General features: G+C 33.8%; 1 protein-coding gene across 69 annotated transcripts in view; it reads left to right on the forward strand.

Annotated features, from left to right (window-relative positions):
* GULP1 (GULP PTB domain containing engulfment adaptor 1) overlaps positions 1-18788 on the forward strand; it is a 304053-nt gene that overhangs the window by 204964 nt on the left and 80301 nt on the right. For 3 of the 69 annotated variants that reach the window (NM_001375951.1, XM_047444693.1, XM_047444694.1), the window contains one exon: positions 2722-2832. The exons of the other annotated variants lie outside the window; for them this stretch is intronic. In NM_001375951.1, the coding sequence (NP_001362880.1) occupies positions 2827-2832 (6 nt within the window). In that variant the 5' untranslated portion in view covers positions 2722-2826. The remainder of the gene's footprint in view (positions 1-2721; positions 2833-18788) is intronic. 69 annotated transcript variants of the gene reach the window in all.

The raw sequence follows: 18788 nt of genomic DNA on the forward strand, positions 1-18788 counted from the left end.
GGCGAGAGTGAGTTATGGCAAGATCTGGTTGTTTAAAAGTGTGTAGCACCTCCCACTCCTTTATCTTCCCCCTGCTCTGGCCATGTAAGATGTTCCTGCTTCCCTTTCGCCTTTCACCATATTGGAAAGTTTCCTGAGGTCTCTCCAGCCATGCTTCCTGTACAGCCTGCAGAACTGTGAGCCAATTAAACCTCTATTATTTATCAGTTACCCATTCTCAGGTATTTCTTTATAGCAGTGCGAGAACAGACTAACAGTAATCAATGAGTTATCTGCCCGTTTTTGAAAAAGTAATTAAGATGAAGAAAAAACGTATAGCAGAATTCTGATACAAAATGCAGTCCTGCTAGCATTGTGTCAGCATTACTTGCACATCTTTAGCTTGAACTTTTGTAATAAATTAACAAATGAATATTATGTTATTTATTTAGTAAATTTCATAAGTAATGTTCTTCTGTATGTTTTCCAGCATACTAAAAATTGCAAAGAATGCAGACATGCATAACATTATAGTAAATGGTCCAAACAACAGGACATTAATTGACTAAGTGGGTGCAGTGTGTTTCTATGACCACCAATATAAAATGGAAATATTTTTAGATAAAGATAATGGACTATTATAACTTAAAATGACTTTGTTGTCTGTTTCACCATGAAATACCTTATAATGAGATGACGTGTTTATCTATAGTGAGTATGTTTGCTTTTTTTAAGGGTATAAATTAACAATCTTTTAAACAAGTTCTAAGAGGCAAGTTTGCAATCTCAGAATAACTGATCAGCAAAAGAGATGAATATTTTACTATTTTTCTTCAGCATATACTAGGTGCAGACTCCAGGTGTAGAAAATGTGTGTCCCACAGTCTCATGGAAGAAACCCACTACAGAGATTACACAAAGCTGATAGTCGAAAGAACAGACAGACCCTTTGGATCTCATGCAAGGCTTTAATAAAGGCAAAGAAAATGTTATGGTATACAAAAGAATACACAAAAACATGAGGAATCTGAGATGCTTCAAGGCACAGCTCTCTAGGGTCCTTTGTTAGTCACACAGAAGCCATCTCTAGATTATGAACCAACAGCATATGGGGGAGGAATTGTGGTTTCAGAAGACTTTGTTCTTACCCTGGCCAAGGATTAATGCTAGATTTCCACACATTCCAGAGATATCCATATAGCTGGCTTACTATCTCACACACATTGGCACCTTGACTTATACTAAGGAGCATCCTTGGGAAGGATGAAGAAAGATTTCCTAAAGAGCCAGTAGAAATTATCTTAGTGTTTCAGGTGAGGTGGCCATTATAATCAGAGGTAACAGTATACTCAGCATCCCAGAGACATACCAGAACTTGACACTAAATTAGAAAGTTTACCGGTTCAGTGTAGCTGGAGTGTATGTAAGTAAAATAGATAAAGAATTAACACAACACTACTTCAGTTGCATTTCTGGGTGACAGACTTGAACCTGAGATAGGGGATAATGAGGTACTGGGTCAGAGATACCTCTTAGTTCTAGATGTTGAATTTTAGATTCTATAGAACATCTGGGTTAGAAATATCCAAGAAATAATTAAAAAGCCCAAAATATAGAGCATAGTCTTTTTGTGATCATTCAATAAACACTAAACAATTAAAAGATGAATTTTAAGAGCTCTAACAATTCCTGTCAGAATCAGTTATAAATAGGAAAATAAACCAAAAAATGTTTTAAAATGTTTCATGCTGTGCACTTATGTTAGAACAAATTATTGTTTTCAAGTTTCACTATCCTCAAAGGAAAAGATGTTCTCTCAATTAAGAAAGGCATCAAATGTTCTATAGCACTGTAGGATGACTATAAATAAAAATAATATATTATGTAGTTTCAAATAGCTAGAAGGAGGATATTGAATGTTCCCAACACAAAGAAATGAAAAGTGTTTGACATGATGGATATGCAAATTACCCTGATCTGATCACTATATTCAAAGCATCACTATGTACTCCATGAATATGTACAATTATTATTTGTAAATTAAATAATATTTTTCTAAAGAAATAAACTTACACAAGATCAGGTGAAATCTGGCTTTACGTGGAGAAGGAGTTTGCAGTGGGAATTTCATTATGACTTGTTTATACCATGTGGAGTCAAATTAGACATTCTCTTCCTTTTTTTCCAGTTTCTCTTTTATCCAAGGATTTTAATCAATGTCTGAAGTTAGAATTTATTGAAATTAAATTCATAAATGTATGTGCTGTGTGTGTATACATATTATATATATACATATACAAATGCACATATATGTGTGTGTATATATATATATATATATATATATATATATATATGAACTCTGCATTTACTGTATCTTACAGACTGGGGAGTAAATGGTAACAACTTTTAAATCTAGCTGTCTTCATGTTGACAAAGCATCTTTCACATAAGCAATTCTCTTGAAACCTGAGAAAAGAAAAGCCTGGATTTTTTTTTCTGAATACTAAGCAAATTCCTTTCAAATACTTAATAGCAAAGATCATCATTATTATATTGTGCATCCACCTCATCCTGCCTCATGGTAAAATGTCTAAAAAGTCATCACAAACATGAAAAACTCATCTCCTGAAAACTACAGAAATTACATATGTCATTTAGAGTAGTGGCCTCTATACCTTTGCAAAGTGTCATGTCTCTGCTAAATATTACTACCTTACATATATTTATGCTTTTACATTCCAGGGAAGTAGTCAGAACTTATTACATGTTATAATTGGAATACAACCTCCAAGTGCATAAATTACTTGTATAAGGTCACACCATGTAAAAAGTAAAACCTGGTCTTCTATGCAGGTAATGTTCTTTTCAAATCTTAAATTATTTGAAATGTAATGTTTTTCTTTTTTACTCTGTCTTCTCTAGTTTCAGAAATATAAGAGTAGAGGAATATATAGTCTACCTATTTACATATGTTAAAACATATACAGGTAGTATTTTTATTATTATGATACAACTCTTTTTTTGGATTTTACATTAAATCAACCTTCTGCATTGAAGTATATATGAAAGAGAAAGCTGTTTTCGGGAATGATTGGCTCTTAATCCACAGAATGCTGCTACCTGATACCCTATTACCACGTGCTTTTAAAAAAATATATATTTAGTTCTTTTCTGCACTATCCTAATACAGACAATCATTTTAGCAACTAAGACATATGTGTCCTTGGCCAGATTAAGAGCTACTTCAATACTTTGTGTCATATGTCACAGAGCAACATTCTCATTGAATATGCAGAATTAATCTTATTTGAGTTTATTTAGGATGAATCAGTGTGTCTTATACTGGTGTGCTTGTTAAAAATACAGATTTTCTGTCCACTCATTTAGATTTGGTAGGTCTAGAATGAGCCTGAAAACCTGCATTTTGACACAATGTACGTGAGAAACACTGGGAAATATAAGGTTACTTTCTTTCTGTTGGAAGATGCAAATAGCAAAATAAGGGACACAGATAAAGCCTGTATTGATCAATAATGTCTACCTTGTTCCCTACCAATCTTTATAGGAAGCTAATGATAAGCCACAAATTGAGTGGCTTTAGTTTCAATTTTCTCTGCTCCTGCACACCAGCTGTGGCAGTGTTAATAAGCATCAAAATTGCTCAAAGGTGATGATTTAGGAGAGTAAAAAGAAAATTGTAGGATGTTAATAATCTTTTGTACTGGTGACACCTAGATAAATAAATCTTTTGGGAACAAGGGTCTTATAATACAGTTGACTATGCTAAAATAAGTACCAGTTTTCCAATGAAATAGAAATGCCTCTCTTAAGCTGTTCTTGAACATGTTTGCGTAGTACAGACATCACCATCAAGATTTTTTGAATGTCCATCTATGATTAACAAAACTTGGAGTCAAAATTATATAGTTTGTCCTAATAGTCCTCTGCCTTTCTTCACTGGCTCTTGATACTCCCTCAATGGGGCCCCTGGTCTTTTCCAAATTCTCTTCCCTTAATTCGTATCTTCTAACCAGCCATGTTCTATCAAATTGGGTAAAGGTTAGAGATTGATCATTAGTCTGTGCTGACTTATCAACTCTATTAGTACTTTAGCAGCAAGTACAATCCTGCTAGCACTGTTAACTGCTTAAAATTTGTCAGGCATGTATTCTGTCTTTATGTTCATGACAGTTCTATGAGATAGATACTGTAGTTATAATGACCCTATATGTACTTACCTATGTTGGTTACTATTATGGCTCCCATTTTATGGATAGTAACATTGAAGTTTATAAAAATTACAAACTTATATGTTTTGGCTCTGTATCCTCACCCAAATCTCTTGTGAAATTATAGTCCCCACGTATCAAGGGAGGGACCCGGTGGGAGGTGATTGGATCATGGGGGCAGTTTCCCCCATGCTGTTCTCATGATAGTGAGTTCTCATGAGATCTGATGGCTTAAAAGTGTGACACTTTCCTCTCTCTCTCGTTCTTTCTCCTGCCTCCATGTAAGACTTGCCTGGCCCCACCTTTTGCCTTCTGCCATGATTGTAAGTATCCTGAGGCCTTCCCATCACGTGGAACTGTGAGTGGGTTAAACCTCTTTTCTTTATAAATTACTCAGTCTCAGATAGTTCTTTATAGCAGTGGAAAAAATGGACTAATACACATACTTTGCCAGAAGTTACAGTTTGTTATTAGCGTAGTGTTCAAGTACAGATGGCATGATTTTAGAGTATGAGCTTCTAATCACTATAGCATGCCACCAGGTATGAGACCTCTAAGACCTTTGTTTCAATGTAAGTAGAAATGCCTCTTGTTAAAGATGTTTCCGCGTCTTAGAGTAGGTTGAAAAATTGTCAAGAAGAGTAAAGGGATTGATGACTCTTGGTCCTGCTGAGATATAAGCCATATAGAACTACACAGCGTCTTAGAAAAAGGATGCCCCTGTGTCTCACCCCTTGGTATGCTCCTGCTGTTCTGATGAGTAGTTTCTAGCAATTTATTCCTGAAAGTTGCCAAAACAGAAAAGAATAAGTGTCCTGTTGTCACTGCCTTCTTCCAAAACATATCAGCCAGGCAGGCTGTCTCCCCTCCTCTCCCAGTCTGATTTTCCCAAACTTGAACACTTTTTGTGTTTTTACCTCTGTCGCACCAGGATTTTCAGAGCCATATTTTTAATTTTTTTAATGCCTTAACTGATAAACTATTTTTTCAAAAATATATTTGTTAATGATTTGTACTGACTTCATAGACATCACATAGTCATGCTTTATTAGAATTATAGTAGATAGGTATATCCCTAGCGGTGTAAGAGGCAATTGAGGAGGAAGGATAATAGTAGGATGGAATAGATGTTTATAAAACTGGTAAGAAGAGGGACAGAAAGGGAGAGAGCTGCATCTGATATCCATGGAAGGTGGTTTTCCCATAGGCAGTAAGTTGTCCTGATTTACTCTATGGCTGGTGAAGCAATTCTTAAGGAAATATTATCTACATTTTAGAACACTTATTGTCTAACTTATCAGGATTCATTCTTGAGCCTGGATTTAGTTTTAATAAAGATACTATTTCATGTTTATTATTAGTGCTATAAGAATATTATAGAGTAAATTATTCATTTTCCCTCTAAAGTAATGTCTATAATTTATGTAGTAATACCCACTTCTGGATATTAACTATATTACTAAAAGGTTAAAATTGTCTTCTTTTAGTCTATAAACCTATGGATTGATATTTCCTGAGACCTCCTATTTCTGTTTTTCTTAAATGAGATATATTTGAAAACAGGTCCCACAATGTGTGACACAGAGTAGGTGACTAATATATGTTAGAAATCATCTCCTTCTTTATATTTTCTACACTATAAAATTGTGCAGTAATTTAATTTAATCTCTGGGTGTTTCAATTACTTAAGAAGTTTTCCTAGAAAGTCTCTTAGTCAGTTAGTGCTGCTATAACAAAAACCTGAGATTGGGTAAGTTATAAAGAACAAAAATTTATTTCTCACAACTCTGGAGGCTAGGAGGTTGAAGATCAAGGGATTGGCAGGCTTAATGTCTGATAAGGATCCTGTCTTTGCTTCCAAGATGGCATCTTGAACTCTGTGTGCTCCAGGAGGGAAGAGTGCTGTGTCCTCACATGGCAGAAAGGACAGATGGGCAATAAAAGGTCTAGCTAGTTCCTCAAGACTTCGTATGGAGTCATAAATCCATGACCTAATCATTTCCTAAAGGTCTCACGTTTTAATACTGTTGCTCTGGAGATTACACTTCAAAAATCTTTGAGGGAGTACAGTATTTAAACCAAGCCTGTTAACCTGCAGCCTATGGGCCACATGTGGCCCAACACAAATTCTTGAACTTTCTTAAAACATTATGAGGTTTTTCGGCATTTTTTTTTAGCTCATCCACTATCATTTGTGTTAGTGTATTAGTCCATTTTCACACTGCTATAAAGAACTGCTTGAGACTGGGTAATTTATAAAGAAAGAGGTTTAATTGACTCACAGTTCTGTATGGATGGGGAGACCTCAGGAAACTTATAATCACAGCAGAAAGCGAAGGGGAAGCAAGCACCTTCTTCAGAAGGTGGCAGGAGAGAGAGAGAGCAAGGGGGAAACTGCCAAACCATCAGATCTCACAAGAACTCACTCACTATCATGAAAACAACATGGAGGAAACTGCCCCCCGTGATCCATCACCTCCCACCAGATCCCTCCCTCGACACATGAAGATTACAATTCGAGATAAGATTTGTGTCAGGACACAGAACCAAACCATATTAGTTAGCGTATTTTATGTGTTGCCCAAGTCAATTCTTCCAATGTGGCCCAGGGAGGCCAAAAGATTGGACACCCCTGATTTAAACCATAGCAGTCTCCTTTTCTTGTAACCATAACTAGACATGGACATGACTTCCATGGACTTTGCATGTAATAACACACACCAAATCTTATAAACGATGGAGAGTACTATTACCTTGTTAATACCATATGAATCCCTGAACTAGTAACGCTACCATCTTTTTTATCTTGATAATACTGTGTACTGAAAAACTTTAGTAACACATATACATTAAAATTAATTCTTAGAATACCTACCTGTATCCTAACTCTTTGGATTTAATTTTAGGTTAAGATATACTTAGTAAAATAAAGCCTTGACAATCCTTTTTAAAATGCTGATCTTCATCTGCCCAATACTTTTTTTCCCTGATAATTACCATTCCTTAATTCAGTACTACAGAGTATCTCAAAAGTAATGCTAAAAATGATGCTTTGGAGAGCTAAGGAGCAGAAATAATTCAGCTGTCACTCTTCTGTACAGTAGAAGGAAATGTCATGACTTCTAACTTCCAACATTAATAACATAGAGCTAGGAAAGCTCTAAAAAGAATGTATTGTCTGAAAAATAAAACTGACACGATGTCATGATTCACATATTTTCAATTTGGAAAACATGACTGTAGAAATTCATTGGGACTTTTAAAAGCTTGGAAGTTTACTGGAAGTAGGAACTATACTAAGGAGAACCATTTTTAAAGCAGGGCTTGAGTTGCCTATGTGGTGTATATACCCCTACAATGCATTTCAAGCCTAATAATTATTTCATGGTTTTATAAATTAAATGTTGTTATAACAATTATAAAGAAAGTTATTTTGACAGGCAACTATGTAGATCAGAATATAAAGGCAAAGGTAGTTATTTCTTTATCCCATTTTGACAGAGAGTAATAGGTATTTCTCCAAAGTACTTAACAATAGCAGAGAAAATGATGGTTAACAATAATTGTGAAACTGTTTTTCATATTCATAGCTATTGTAAAAATAAAACAAATATCCAGTGGGCTATTTGAAATTTAGTGAACTATCAAACACTTTTGTTGGTGAAATCACATATTAATCCAATTGCAAATCAAAGTTCCATCATATACATGAAGCTGCTTTATTTTTATTTCAGCTAATCAACAGTGAATCATAAGTTAACTGGTTTTTTTGTTTGTTTGTTATTTTACTTTATGCTGCTGTTGAATAAAGTCATAGCCTACTTTCTGAATGATCTCTAGCAAATTTACAAGATTATATGGCTTTTGACTGCAAACCTGTTTCTACTCTTCCATTTTGCTTTGTTGTTTTTTTTTTGCTTCATTTTGCTAATTTGTTTTATCTTTCTGTATTTTATGAGTAGTTATAAGCTACCTTAAATAAATTTTTGGAAGTAGTGGAAAATTTTTTAATCAGTGAAATTATTTTTTAAAATATTTTTATTTGAGGAAGGAACCCCTGGGAATTCAAGATCAATCATCAGCAAAATACCCTTTGTCTTAAACCTCTCTTCTGAACCTTATTGCTGCTTCTTACTCTGAATAAAAACCAATTCTTTCATAAGGACACTAAATCCCCAGTAGCCTCTGAAGTGGTATGTGTTTTCCTTCCACAACTATCCTGTAGCACCTGCTATAACAGGTGAATTAAATGTTCTCCTTTTCTCTTCCCTAAAATTTTCCAGCTTTGAATTTCACATTATCAAACTATGCCACCTTTCCTCTCTGTATTGAAATCATCTACAATCCCGAGTCATTCCTTCACTGTTTTAATTTTGTAACGCTTGGTTCATAGTTTGCCCCCAAATAACTCCATACTATGAAGCATATTATAATATACAGAATAGAATGTACATATTATAATATACAACAGCATATTCTAATGTATAGTATTCTATATAAATATAGAATCACACACTCTTCTGAGGTACTGATTTCCTTGTACAAAAATATTCTCAACCAAATAGACACAGCATTCCAAGTCCTTGGTCCATTCAGTGAAGATGTGCCATTCTGGGCTAGTAATAGAATTATCAGTGCACAGTCCTATTCATATGGAAGATCACAACCAAGAAGTTAAATGATTTGCTGTAAACTCTTTCTGTCTGTTGAACTGGAGATAAGTAAATTAAAGGCATTGAAATAATTTATGATATATTTATTGAATGCTGTGCCTTGACCTTCATAAACTGCATCATTTAACAAGACAAGTTTCAGACTTTAACCAATTTATAGTCACTGAACAAACATGCCTCAGACTTACCTCTTTTTTACCTCATAGTTGACCAACTGCATGACCTTATTAATGAGATCACCACACATCTACATAGTACAGTTACACTACTTAACAGATATATAATTATAGTACTGTATCAAAATTTACTTTATTAAATTTAGGAAAGAAGTTTCTAGAAGAATATATACAATATAATTAGCACCTAATAAAGTTTTAGTGTGATATTTCCTGCAAATTTTAATCTATAACATTTGATAAGTAGTGCCCTATTTATACACTCCTTTTGTCTTTTAATTTTAACTACAGTGTCATAAGCATACTTGCTAATGTAAGTATTCATTTTATGATCCCTATTAAATTTAAGATTTTCACTAATTAAATTCCTGGAGTTATAATGGGACATTAAAATTATTGGGAGAACTAGCAATGATAAATATATTTTCCTACTCGTTTGCATTTATATAATTTCAAATCAGTACATAAAAGCCAGAAACTAATTGATTATAGTTGTTTTCTATAATCTACCTGGATTATGTAGTATGGAGCAATTTAATTTTAGAGATACTCTTTGGCTTTTATCTATAAAATACTTTTAGTTCTCCCACTTGAATAAATGAGACAAGTCTATTAAATACTAACTTATTAAATCCTTAGCACTGTGCTAAACTCCATTGTCTCATTAACTCAAGAAATCCTCAGAAATATCACTACTGTTATTTTAAAGAGCAACAAGCTTGGGATACAAAGTAGATATAACAAAACAATTAGAAACAGCAGAGCCAAGATTCAAATCTTAATCTCCATAATTCCACAGATTCCCCTTAAATTCTACATCACTATGTAGAGTAAAGTTTGACCTTGTTATTCAGTAAGTAGTCAGTCCTTGAGGACAATAACAATTTACAAAAGTAAGCGCCTTAATGTCAGTGTTTACATGGGAATTTGTGTTTTACTCATGGCTTATATGATAAATTGGCAAATTTGCTATCCTGATAACAAATTGAACATTCAGTCAATGTGGGGAAGAACCAACCACAACCTGAACTTCTCCCAGAAAGTGTGTTTACAGCAGCAAGCCAAAAGCACTTTCTGTGGAGTGGCTAAGACTGTTGAGAGAAGAGAAAGTTACTTTTTCTCTCCCTGCATTTGCCCTAGGCTTTTGCCAGACCATCCACCCACTTTGCATTCTTTCCTGAAGGCTCCTGGCAGGATTTCTATAGGCGTAGATTGACAGATGGGGTTCTAGTAACTGAGGCCCCTCCAGCTCCAATGGGATGTCATCAAGGACTTTAAAAAGGCCTTTCCCCAAACTACCTGCTTTATAAAATGCTATCTATCTTCAAATAAAGAGTTAATCATGATTAAGTGGCAGTAACTCTGAGAGTCTCTAGGAAAATCCCATTCTAGAATTTATTGGGCTTTATGGAGTGATGCTTCCTGGGTTTGTGCAGATGTTTCCACCTGAATATTCACTAAACGAGTGTGTTTCTGGAGCAAAGAGAATACCATTTGTTTTCTTTTTTTTTTTTTTTTTTTGCTTGTGGCAAGCAGTATCCATAATTTCTATGGACAAACATAATTTTGAAATTTGTACTAGGTTAGCCCTGAAATGAGATGGAATAAGTATCATGACTCTAACGCTATTATAATGCTATGTTCTTGCCCATACTTCACTTATTTGTGTATTTTAATAGCATGCATCACTTTGAATGAAAACAATCAAATTAATCTCAGAATTGAGTCAGTATTTGTATTTTATATTTTGCATTATTATCAAGGAACTGAAGTGGCATGTCACAAAATGCTTCAACTGAAATTACGTTAAGTGGTTTACTCTAATCTTCAGACATATTAATAAATGAAACTACATAGTTCATTAATTACCATTCCTATGTAACAATTAGATGCACAGTTCATATTTCAATTAATAAATGGAAGTGCACAGAGTCAAGGCTCATTTCAAATACCAGTTCTGTAGTCTGAAAATACCAAGCTTAAATATTTGATATATTAATCAAATATATCATGAAAAATAGGTATAGTTCTTTTTGAGAAAGTGATATGCTGCAATATAGTTCTGTATATATAAAGGGAAGTTTTTTATATAATTTGGGATTATAGTTACTAATCAGGCTATTAAATTTTTATAACAGTTCCAATAAAATCATAAAGGTCTATGATAATACCAGGATTAGAAATTTAAAAGGGCAGCTGAAAAATACTCGTAGAAGTTGCCCAGGAATGTGCTACCACTGATTTTTTTAAAAGGCCAAGGAAAATCAAATAGAATCAGCATACAGTAGGGTTCGAACAAAACCCATTAAACATTACAGTGAAGCATTACATAACTTTACTAAATAGCACTATTTAGTGATAATTGACTTCAAGTGTTGAGAAAACTAAGTCAAATTATCTTTAAAAAACAGGGATTTAAAAAGTAAACAAAATTACCAAACTGAATTTAGAAGTCTATAATAAGATTGGCCTAATTGTAACAAAAGCATGATTTGCAATAGTGGAAGCAGAATACTTCCTCACTTTTACAAAAGGGGAAGAGAGAATTAGGCTGTTTATTAGCTGCTAAGATAAAACAGGTGATCACCTCATAGCTGTATCTGATTGCAGACTGATTAAAGTGAGATGGACCCAGTTGATTATACAAAGAGTACTACACTCCTTTCCCGTACTCCACAATTGTCAGGACCCCACCATATTTGGATGCTTGATGTTCCTGTCTTCCCGTCTGTCATTTAGTGAGCCAAAGTCACCAGCTTCCCAGCAGATTCCTTTCAGCCTACTAACAGAATTATATTGACTCTATAAAATAATAAGAAAAAAAATGGCCCTTGTGGAAAAGAATAAAAGCCACAAACCCATTATTCTAGCATTACTTTGGGATCTGGAACCAAATAATACACACCTGGACACATCATTCGACACCATTTGCTTTTGGAAGCAAATATTTATTGAGTGCCTGCTATGTGTCAATAGGCACTTTACCCACACAATTTTTTTTCCCACAGCCCACTTGTAAGTACAGGGGACATCTATCTACATTTTATAAACTAATAAGCTGCAGTTCAGTGGCATTAAAATTCATAGACCTAGCAAGCAGCAGAGCCAGAATTCAAAGCTTAAGTCCACGTGACTGTCACTCTGAAACTTATTTGCATAGTTCCACCAAGCCACGTCCACAGGGATCTTTAACTTTTCTGTTCATCACTTTCTTTTCAAGTATCTGGAACAGTGCCTGGTACACAGTAGGTCTTCAGTAAACAGCTGTGGAATAAAAGAAGCTCTACTCTGGTGCAGAGCCTGCTCTCCCTAGTGGCTCTGTAGGAGGCCACCGACATTAAGCTTGTCTCAATATGTTCCAGCTCAGAGTGTTTTTTGTTATTGTTGTATGTTTATTTTCTTTACGGTTCCTTGTGTTGAATCTTTAAACCTGGAAGGTAAAACAGGATCCAGCCTTCTTTGCTTTGACCTTCATAGCACACTAATGACAGTTCTGCATACAGCAATGCTTTGCAGAAATAGACCGTATTAATCATTGACAGAAAGTTTGTTAAAAGAAATCAATAAATCTGCATTTCAGGAGTATCATTAGCCCACACTCATTTTTCACTCAAAAGAACTATGCACCACCTATCAAGACCTGAAGAGTAGATTTTTCTCCTTTTCTACAAAAAATGAGGACAGGAGTTTGAGTAACAGACTCCCTTAATATGATCACTCATTTTCTATGATATTCAAATATGAAAAATAAGTTCTGCTTGTAGCATGGGAGGAGGTTTTCTTAAAAATGGCTTAAGAGTTCAAAGCAAACAATAATCACTTACAGCTAGAAAACTACGCTGTGGCAATAATTGTATATTTGAAAACTTTTTGTTGCAGTTGATTTGGTTTGTTCTCAAATAATGAGGCTTTGGGTAGAATGGAGTGAAAGAACCTGTAAGAAAAATAAGGCACTCTGGTCATTGAAGATGTGTGTGTAGCCTGTGGCAGCAGGTCAGAGGTTTGGGTCTATTTTGTTCACTGATGTATCCTCATATCTGAAACAGGACCTGATACATAGAGTATGCACAATAAATATTTTTGAGATGGATTAGGACATAGAAATCATAACGATAATCCAGTGTCTCAGAGAAATCCTGTGAATGGTAAGCCCTGAAAGATGAGGGGTGCTAGAGCATTTAAAGAATCTTCTCTCCAAAAGGGAAAATAAGAGATAAATTTATCTCAAGAGAGCTCAGAGGGCACTTGAAATATCAGGGGTTTCTGCAAATAAATATATTTAGTGTTCAGGCACATAAGTACATTTGGGAAGATTATTTTGTGTAAGTTTAAACATGAAGTAGAACAATGATCAGTATGTTGTATAGTCAAAAGCTTAAGTAAGTTCCATGAAAATTAAGAATGAAATATAGATGCTTATTATTACCGTTGCACAACATTGCTTTTTAACTAATTTTGTGATCAAGGAAAATTAAATAATTAGTAACCATATTGGCGAGGAAAAAGATATATTTCCTTTTATTGATAATTAGATTCCAGCGCACTTAAATTTAAAAAATAATACTACTAGATTTAAGAGAATTTGGTAAGCTGACCACATACTGGGTAAACATTCCTTATATAGCAATATATTGTTATAAGTAGAATTGAAAAATAATCTAACTTACCAAAACTTATAAAGCAACTAAGAATATATTTAGCATGAAATATACTCAGCCTCACTAAGAAACAGAATAAACACTTACTTAAAAGACCCTCACAAAGAGATATATTATATGTGTAGATATCCTAAAAATCCCACTTGTCTCATGTTATATAAAAATCTGATTAAATTGCAATGAGAATTGCAAATAAATTAAATTACAGTGGGAGTTCAGAAGAATAAATGTTTGAAAGTAACCAATACCAGTTTGAGGAAAAAAAAAAACAACAACAAAAACTTGCGTATGTGTTGGTAAGGATTGTAGCTGCTTCAAGAACCAAAACCCAAATCCTAGTGGCTTAAAATAGGGTTTTTATTCTTGCTTACTTTGCAGTTCATTGTGGGTGGGTTGGTTCTTTTTATTTGCTTGATGTGGCTGTTATTATTTCATTTTTATTTCTAAGCATAAATTCATTGAATGTTCATTCTGTGCTAGTCGCTGGTTGTATTTTCTCATTTAATTCTCACAAGAACACTGAGATTTTCCCTATTTTATGAATGAGGAAAGCGAGGCTATGAAAGGCAGAGTGAAACAGTGGAATCAGTATTCGGAAACTCATTTTATCTGACTGTAATGTACATGGAATATTCTTTTGACTGCCTTTGTTTTTAAACCGCTCTCACAATAGAAACATTATATAACATAAATCTGAACTAGCTAAATGGATGTGGCATAGATAAGTAATACTATCCTCAGTTTTCACATCTGTAAAATAATGCAAGTTACATGAGAATATTTCCACAGCCCATGTGTTTTATAATCATGTGATTCTCTAGTGAGAAATGAATTGTGAAGCTTGCCTGGCTCCAAACCCCATGCTTTTGGTTTTCTATTCAAGTTGATGCTTATTTATTTTTATAACACTTCTGTTGATAGCAATACAGATAAATGCCCTATTTACTCCACCTGTCTCACTCTTCAGATGTGAAGGATGTTTGAGTGTGGGAGGGACTCCACAGGCAGGACAAAAACTCGCTGCTTCTTAGTGTGACCATGTGGTACAAACTCGGTGGGAGAGCCTCCTGAGCAATGAACACAGTTTCTTGTTTATAGCAAGTAGACTTGTTTGGACTTAAACATGGAAATTGTATTTTAAAACAAGAGACTATAAAAATAATATACCCTATATCCATGTAAAACATGAACAAATACAATGTAATAAATAATTGTTATAATAAAATGAGGAACAAATATTAAATATAAAATGTGGACTTTTTAATACTCAGTCCATATTTTAAAAATTTTCTATCAAAACTTCCTTGTCCTTTAAAGGGATAACCTTTTTAGAGTATTTAATTTAAAATTTAAAGTATAACCTTTTGTTGGTGTATCTATTTTAGTTTTTTTCAGGATTATAGTTTTGATTAATAAGTTTAAATCCAGTTGATTCTGACCCTGCTTTAGCAAATGACTATTATGATGTGCTTTTTAAAAATGGCTTTTTCTGTATTGCTTGGCAATGGGACCATAGGAAGTCAGCCAAATAAAGGCTATAAAATTAAATTAGCTTACTCCTATATAGCTTATCTACTAGGTACAGTTGAGTAGCTAACAGGCTTAAATACTTTTCCTTTTTTTTGCACATATGGAGTCAAATTGCCTCAAAGAAAATTAGTCCCATCATATTTGAGGCTCTGCAACATTGGTTACAAAGATATATACGCATTTTTAAAAAATAATGAGAATATTCATTGTTATGCCACCAATATTTATTAATCTTGAAGCAATATAAAACTTTTATATTATAAAAAGTAGGAATTATTCTCCCTTAATATTTTACAGTAATTCTGTAGAGAACATATTATCTACATAAAATTGGCATATTTTGAATTTACTATACATAAAATGTGTATTCCAGACATTTTTGTTATAAATGATGTCCTTTGTATGTTAAATACTGTCAAATTTCATAGCAGTTAGACTTCGTAACTCTTTAGCTATTTAATTGTTATTTTTCTGATATTTAAAAACAGTCCTACATTATTCATAGTGATTCTGAAACATTTGAGGAAGGAAAGCAGATATTCTAAATGAGTCCATATGATGTCCAACACTGCTCTCTACTGGCAAAGAAGCAAGTTATAAAACAACTATTCAGCCTTTCAAGTGAAAAAATCTTCCATTTTGAATAATATTTGATAACGAGGGTAGAATCCTCAAACTTCCACACATTTTGTTAAATAGAATACAGTGAAAGAATGGAAGAAATGAATATAGACATCACTTGTGGAAATTAGCTTAAAAGAGAAGTCTTTGTTTTCATTTTAACTATTTGAAAAATAATTATAGGAATTTTGGAAAATATTAACCAAATACGACATATCTTACTAGCATTTTAAGAGTCACCAAGGTAAATATTTTGTTTACAATAGCAAGTTTGATAACATTTCTATAGATTTAATTTCAGCAGACTGCAGCCTGTAAAATGCTGTCTTTTGTACATCTGCCTAAACAATAAGTATTCAAATACATTGAGTGGAGAGATACATGGGGTGGAGTATTTATGTTGAATATAAAATTATATCTATAGTATCAGAAACTTGTTCTGTATTTATCAGAGTCTTTATAGAAGATTTAAAAAAGACATTTACTAGTTTGTAAAATCTGACGAACTATATGCCATGCTGTTATAACTTTCATTATATAGACTAATAATACACAAAACATTTTTAGATCAATGACTACATCTTACCTTTTATAATCTAATATTCTAAATTTCCCATCTGTGTTTTATATCATTCTTATCTGTCCATTTTGCTTGGGAGTCATATTCAATGTTTTAATCTCAAAGTTCAATATATGTAGATACAATCACTTATACCTGCATATTTACACAATAATGCCAAATTATATAGTAATTGATGAGGTTTTGTTAGGTTTGCTTAATATTGTCATTGGCCGATCACTTTTATTTTAATGTAAATTGAAAAGATAATGTGCAATATTTTTAAGAAAGCCACTTCTTGGCTGTGAGGTAAAAGTTGATGCTTATTTTCATTGATACATTTTCTGGAGTGTTCTCATTTTTCTTAGTGAACATATATTAATATTAAAATTAACGTATTTATTCATAAATAAACAGAAAAACCTTGTTGCATTTTCCAGGCACAAGCACACAATTGTGCAAGACACACACTTGTACTCATGTAAACTCTATGGCCTGATATTTCTTAAAAAAAAATTCACCGTAATAAATTTTGTCTATTTGGATTTACAGCAGGGCCTTGAATAACACTCTTTGATTCAATGTTGTTTTATTCCATGTTATTGGTTATAAGGTTGATGAGAAAAAAAATATCAGTTCCCAGACAGGGCTACTGTCTGTGTGGGGTTTTCAGGTTCTCCCCATATCTGCGTGGGTTTTCTCTGAGTACTCCTGTTTCCTCCCATATTCCAAAATGCGCAGGTTTGGTAACTGATCTGTCTAAATGGTCCCCTTCTGAGTGTGTGTGTGTGTGTGTGTGTGTGTGTGTGTGTGTGTGTGTGCGCCCTGCCACTGGGTGGCGTCCTGTCTAGGGCTGTTTCCAGCTTTGCCCCGAGCTATCGGGCAAGGCTCCTGCCACCTGGGACCCTGAGCTAAAACAATTGAGTAAACAATTATCTTACTTGTTTCTATTGATCTTTCTTAAATGTATGTATAGCTCACATTTATTTTGGTGTTTAACATTGGAAGTATTTCGGTCTTTATTTAGAAGTTTGCTGATATTTTTGTGACCAGAAATATGGTGTAGGAACTTAACTGTTGTTTATATCGGTTAGCCTATGGTAAAATTGGTTGTGTTATATGTCCTTCAGCTTAAAGTTGCAGTTTCAAAGAACCTATTGATGCTGTTAAGTGAGGACTTATTGTACAGAAAAAATAAATAAATAAATAAAACCCTGAACACTTTAAGTAAGAAAAAAATGCAGGAACAAATATCACTTGCCAGACAACACATAACTTTTTTCTTTTGCTCTTTGCCAAAGTGAAAAATAACACTGAATCTAATTGTATGAAGCAAAATAGTCTGAAACATTATACTCCTTTTTTCATCATTGCTAATTTTTTTTGTTTTCTCACATGGAGGAATTAAGACATAAAGTTGCAAAACATAAAAATGAGTATTTTTACACAATTTTAAATAATGTTGAATATACCAGTGTCCCATTTTTAAGAGACTGTCAATGAAATATTCCTGTATGCCTCTTTCAGGTAAATAGCAATAAAAAATAAACCTTTTGGGATTAGCTTTTAATATTTGTCAAAATTCCCTTTCGATCCATCTAACTTGTCTTGTTTATCAATAATTCATTCATTTTTATACCTTAGTAGTATTCCATGGTATAGATGTACCATTGTTTAAGAATCCACTCATTGCAGGACAATTAGATTGTTTCTGATTTTGAGCTATTACAAAGAGAGCTACAATGAACATCCGTGCAGGACATTTACTTGAACATTAGTATTCATTTCTCTGAGGTAAATACTCAAGAGTGCAGTTGCTGCATCTTATGGTAAGTCCACATTTAGTTTGAAATGAAACTGCCAAACCATTTTTTTTTTCAGATTGGCTGTACCATTTTACATTCCTACCAGCAGTGACATCTTGTAATTTTATTTGCTATATCTGGCAACCGCATTCAGGAGTATTAATGTCTCACTTGCATGATTCCCCCTGCCATTTCCTTGAACACTCATCTTATTCCCCTTTGCAGCATTATTCTCTTCCATCTCCCTCTGAAATATGGCAGCTACCTGAGGACCCAGGATGCTGGCGCTCTTTTCAATCTCTCAGCCTTTCATTGAGACCTTTGTGCCAGGATCTCCCGAATCCACATGTTCTCTTCAGAATTCTTCTTCCTCAGACTCCAGCACTGTATACCCAATTGTTGAGTCTGGTATCTCTAGTGAGCACGTCAGAGTCATGTTAACCTTAATATGCTTGAGTGTATGTTTCATTTCTTCCTTACATCTTATTAATATGCCACCTTTTTAGAGAGAACTGATGACTCTTTCTTAAATATTACCCACACTCTGCCCAGTCCATC

Source organism: Homo sapiens, chromosome 2 (assembly GCF_000001405.40).
Source record: "Homo sapiens chromosome 2, GRCh38.p14 Primary Assembly".
Taxonomy (NCBI): domain Eukaryota; kingdom Metazoa; phylum Chordata; class Mammalia; order Primates; family Hominidae; genus Homo; species Homo sapiens.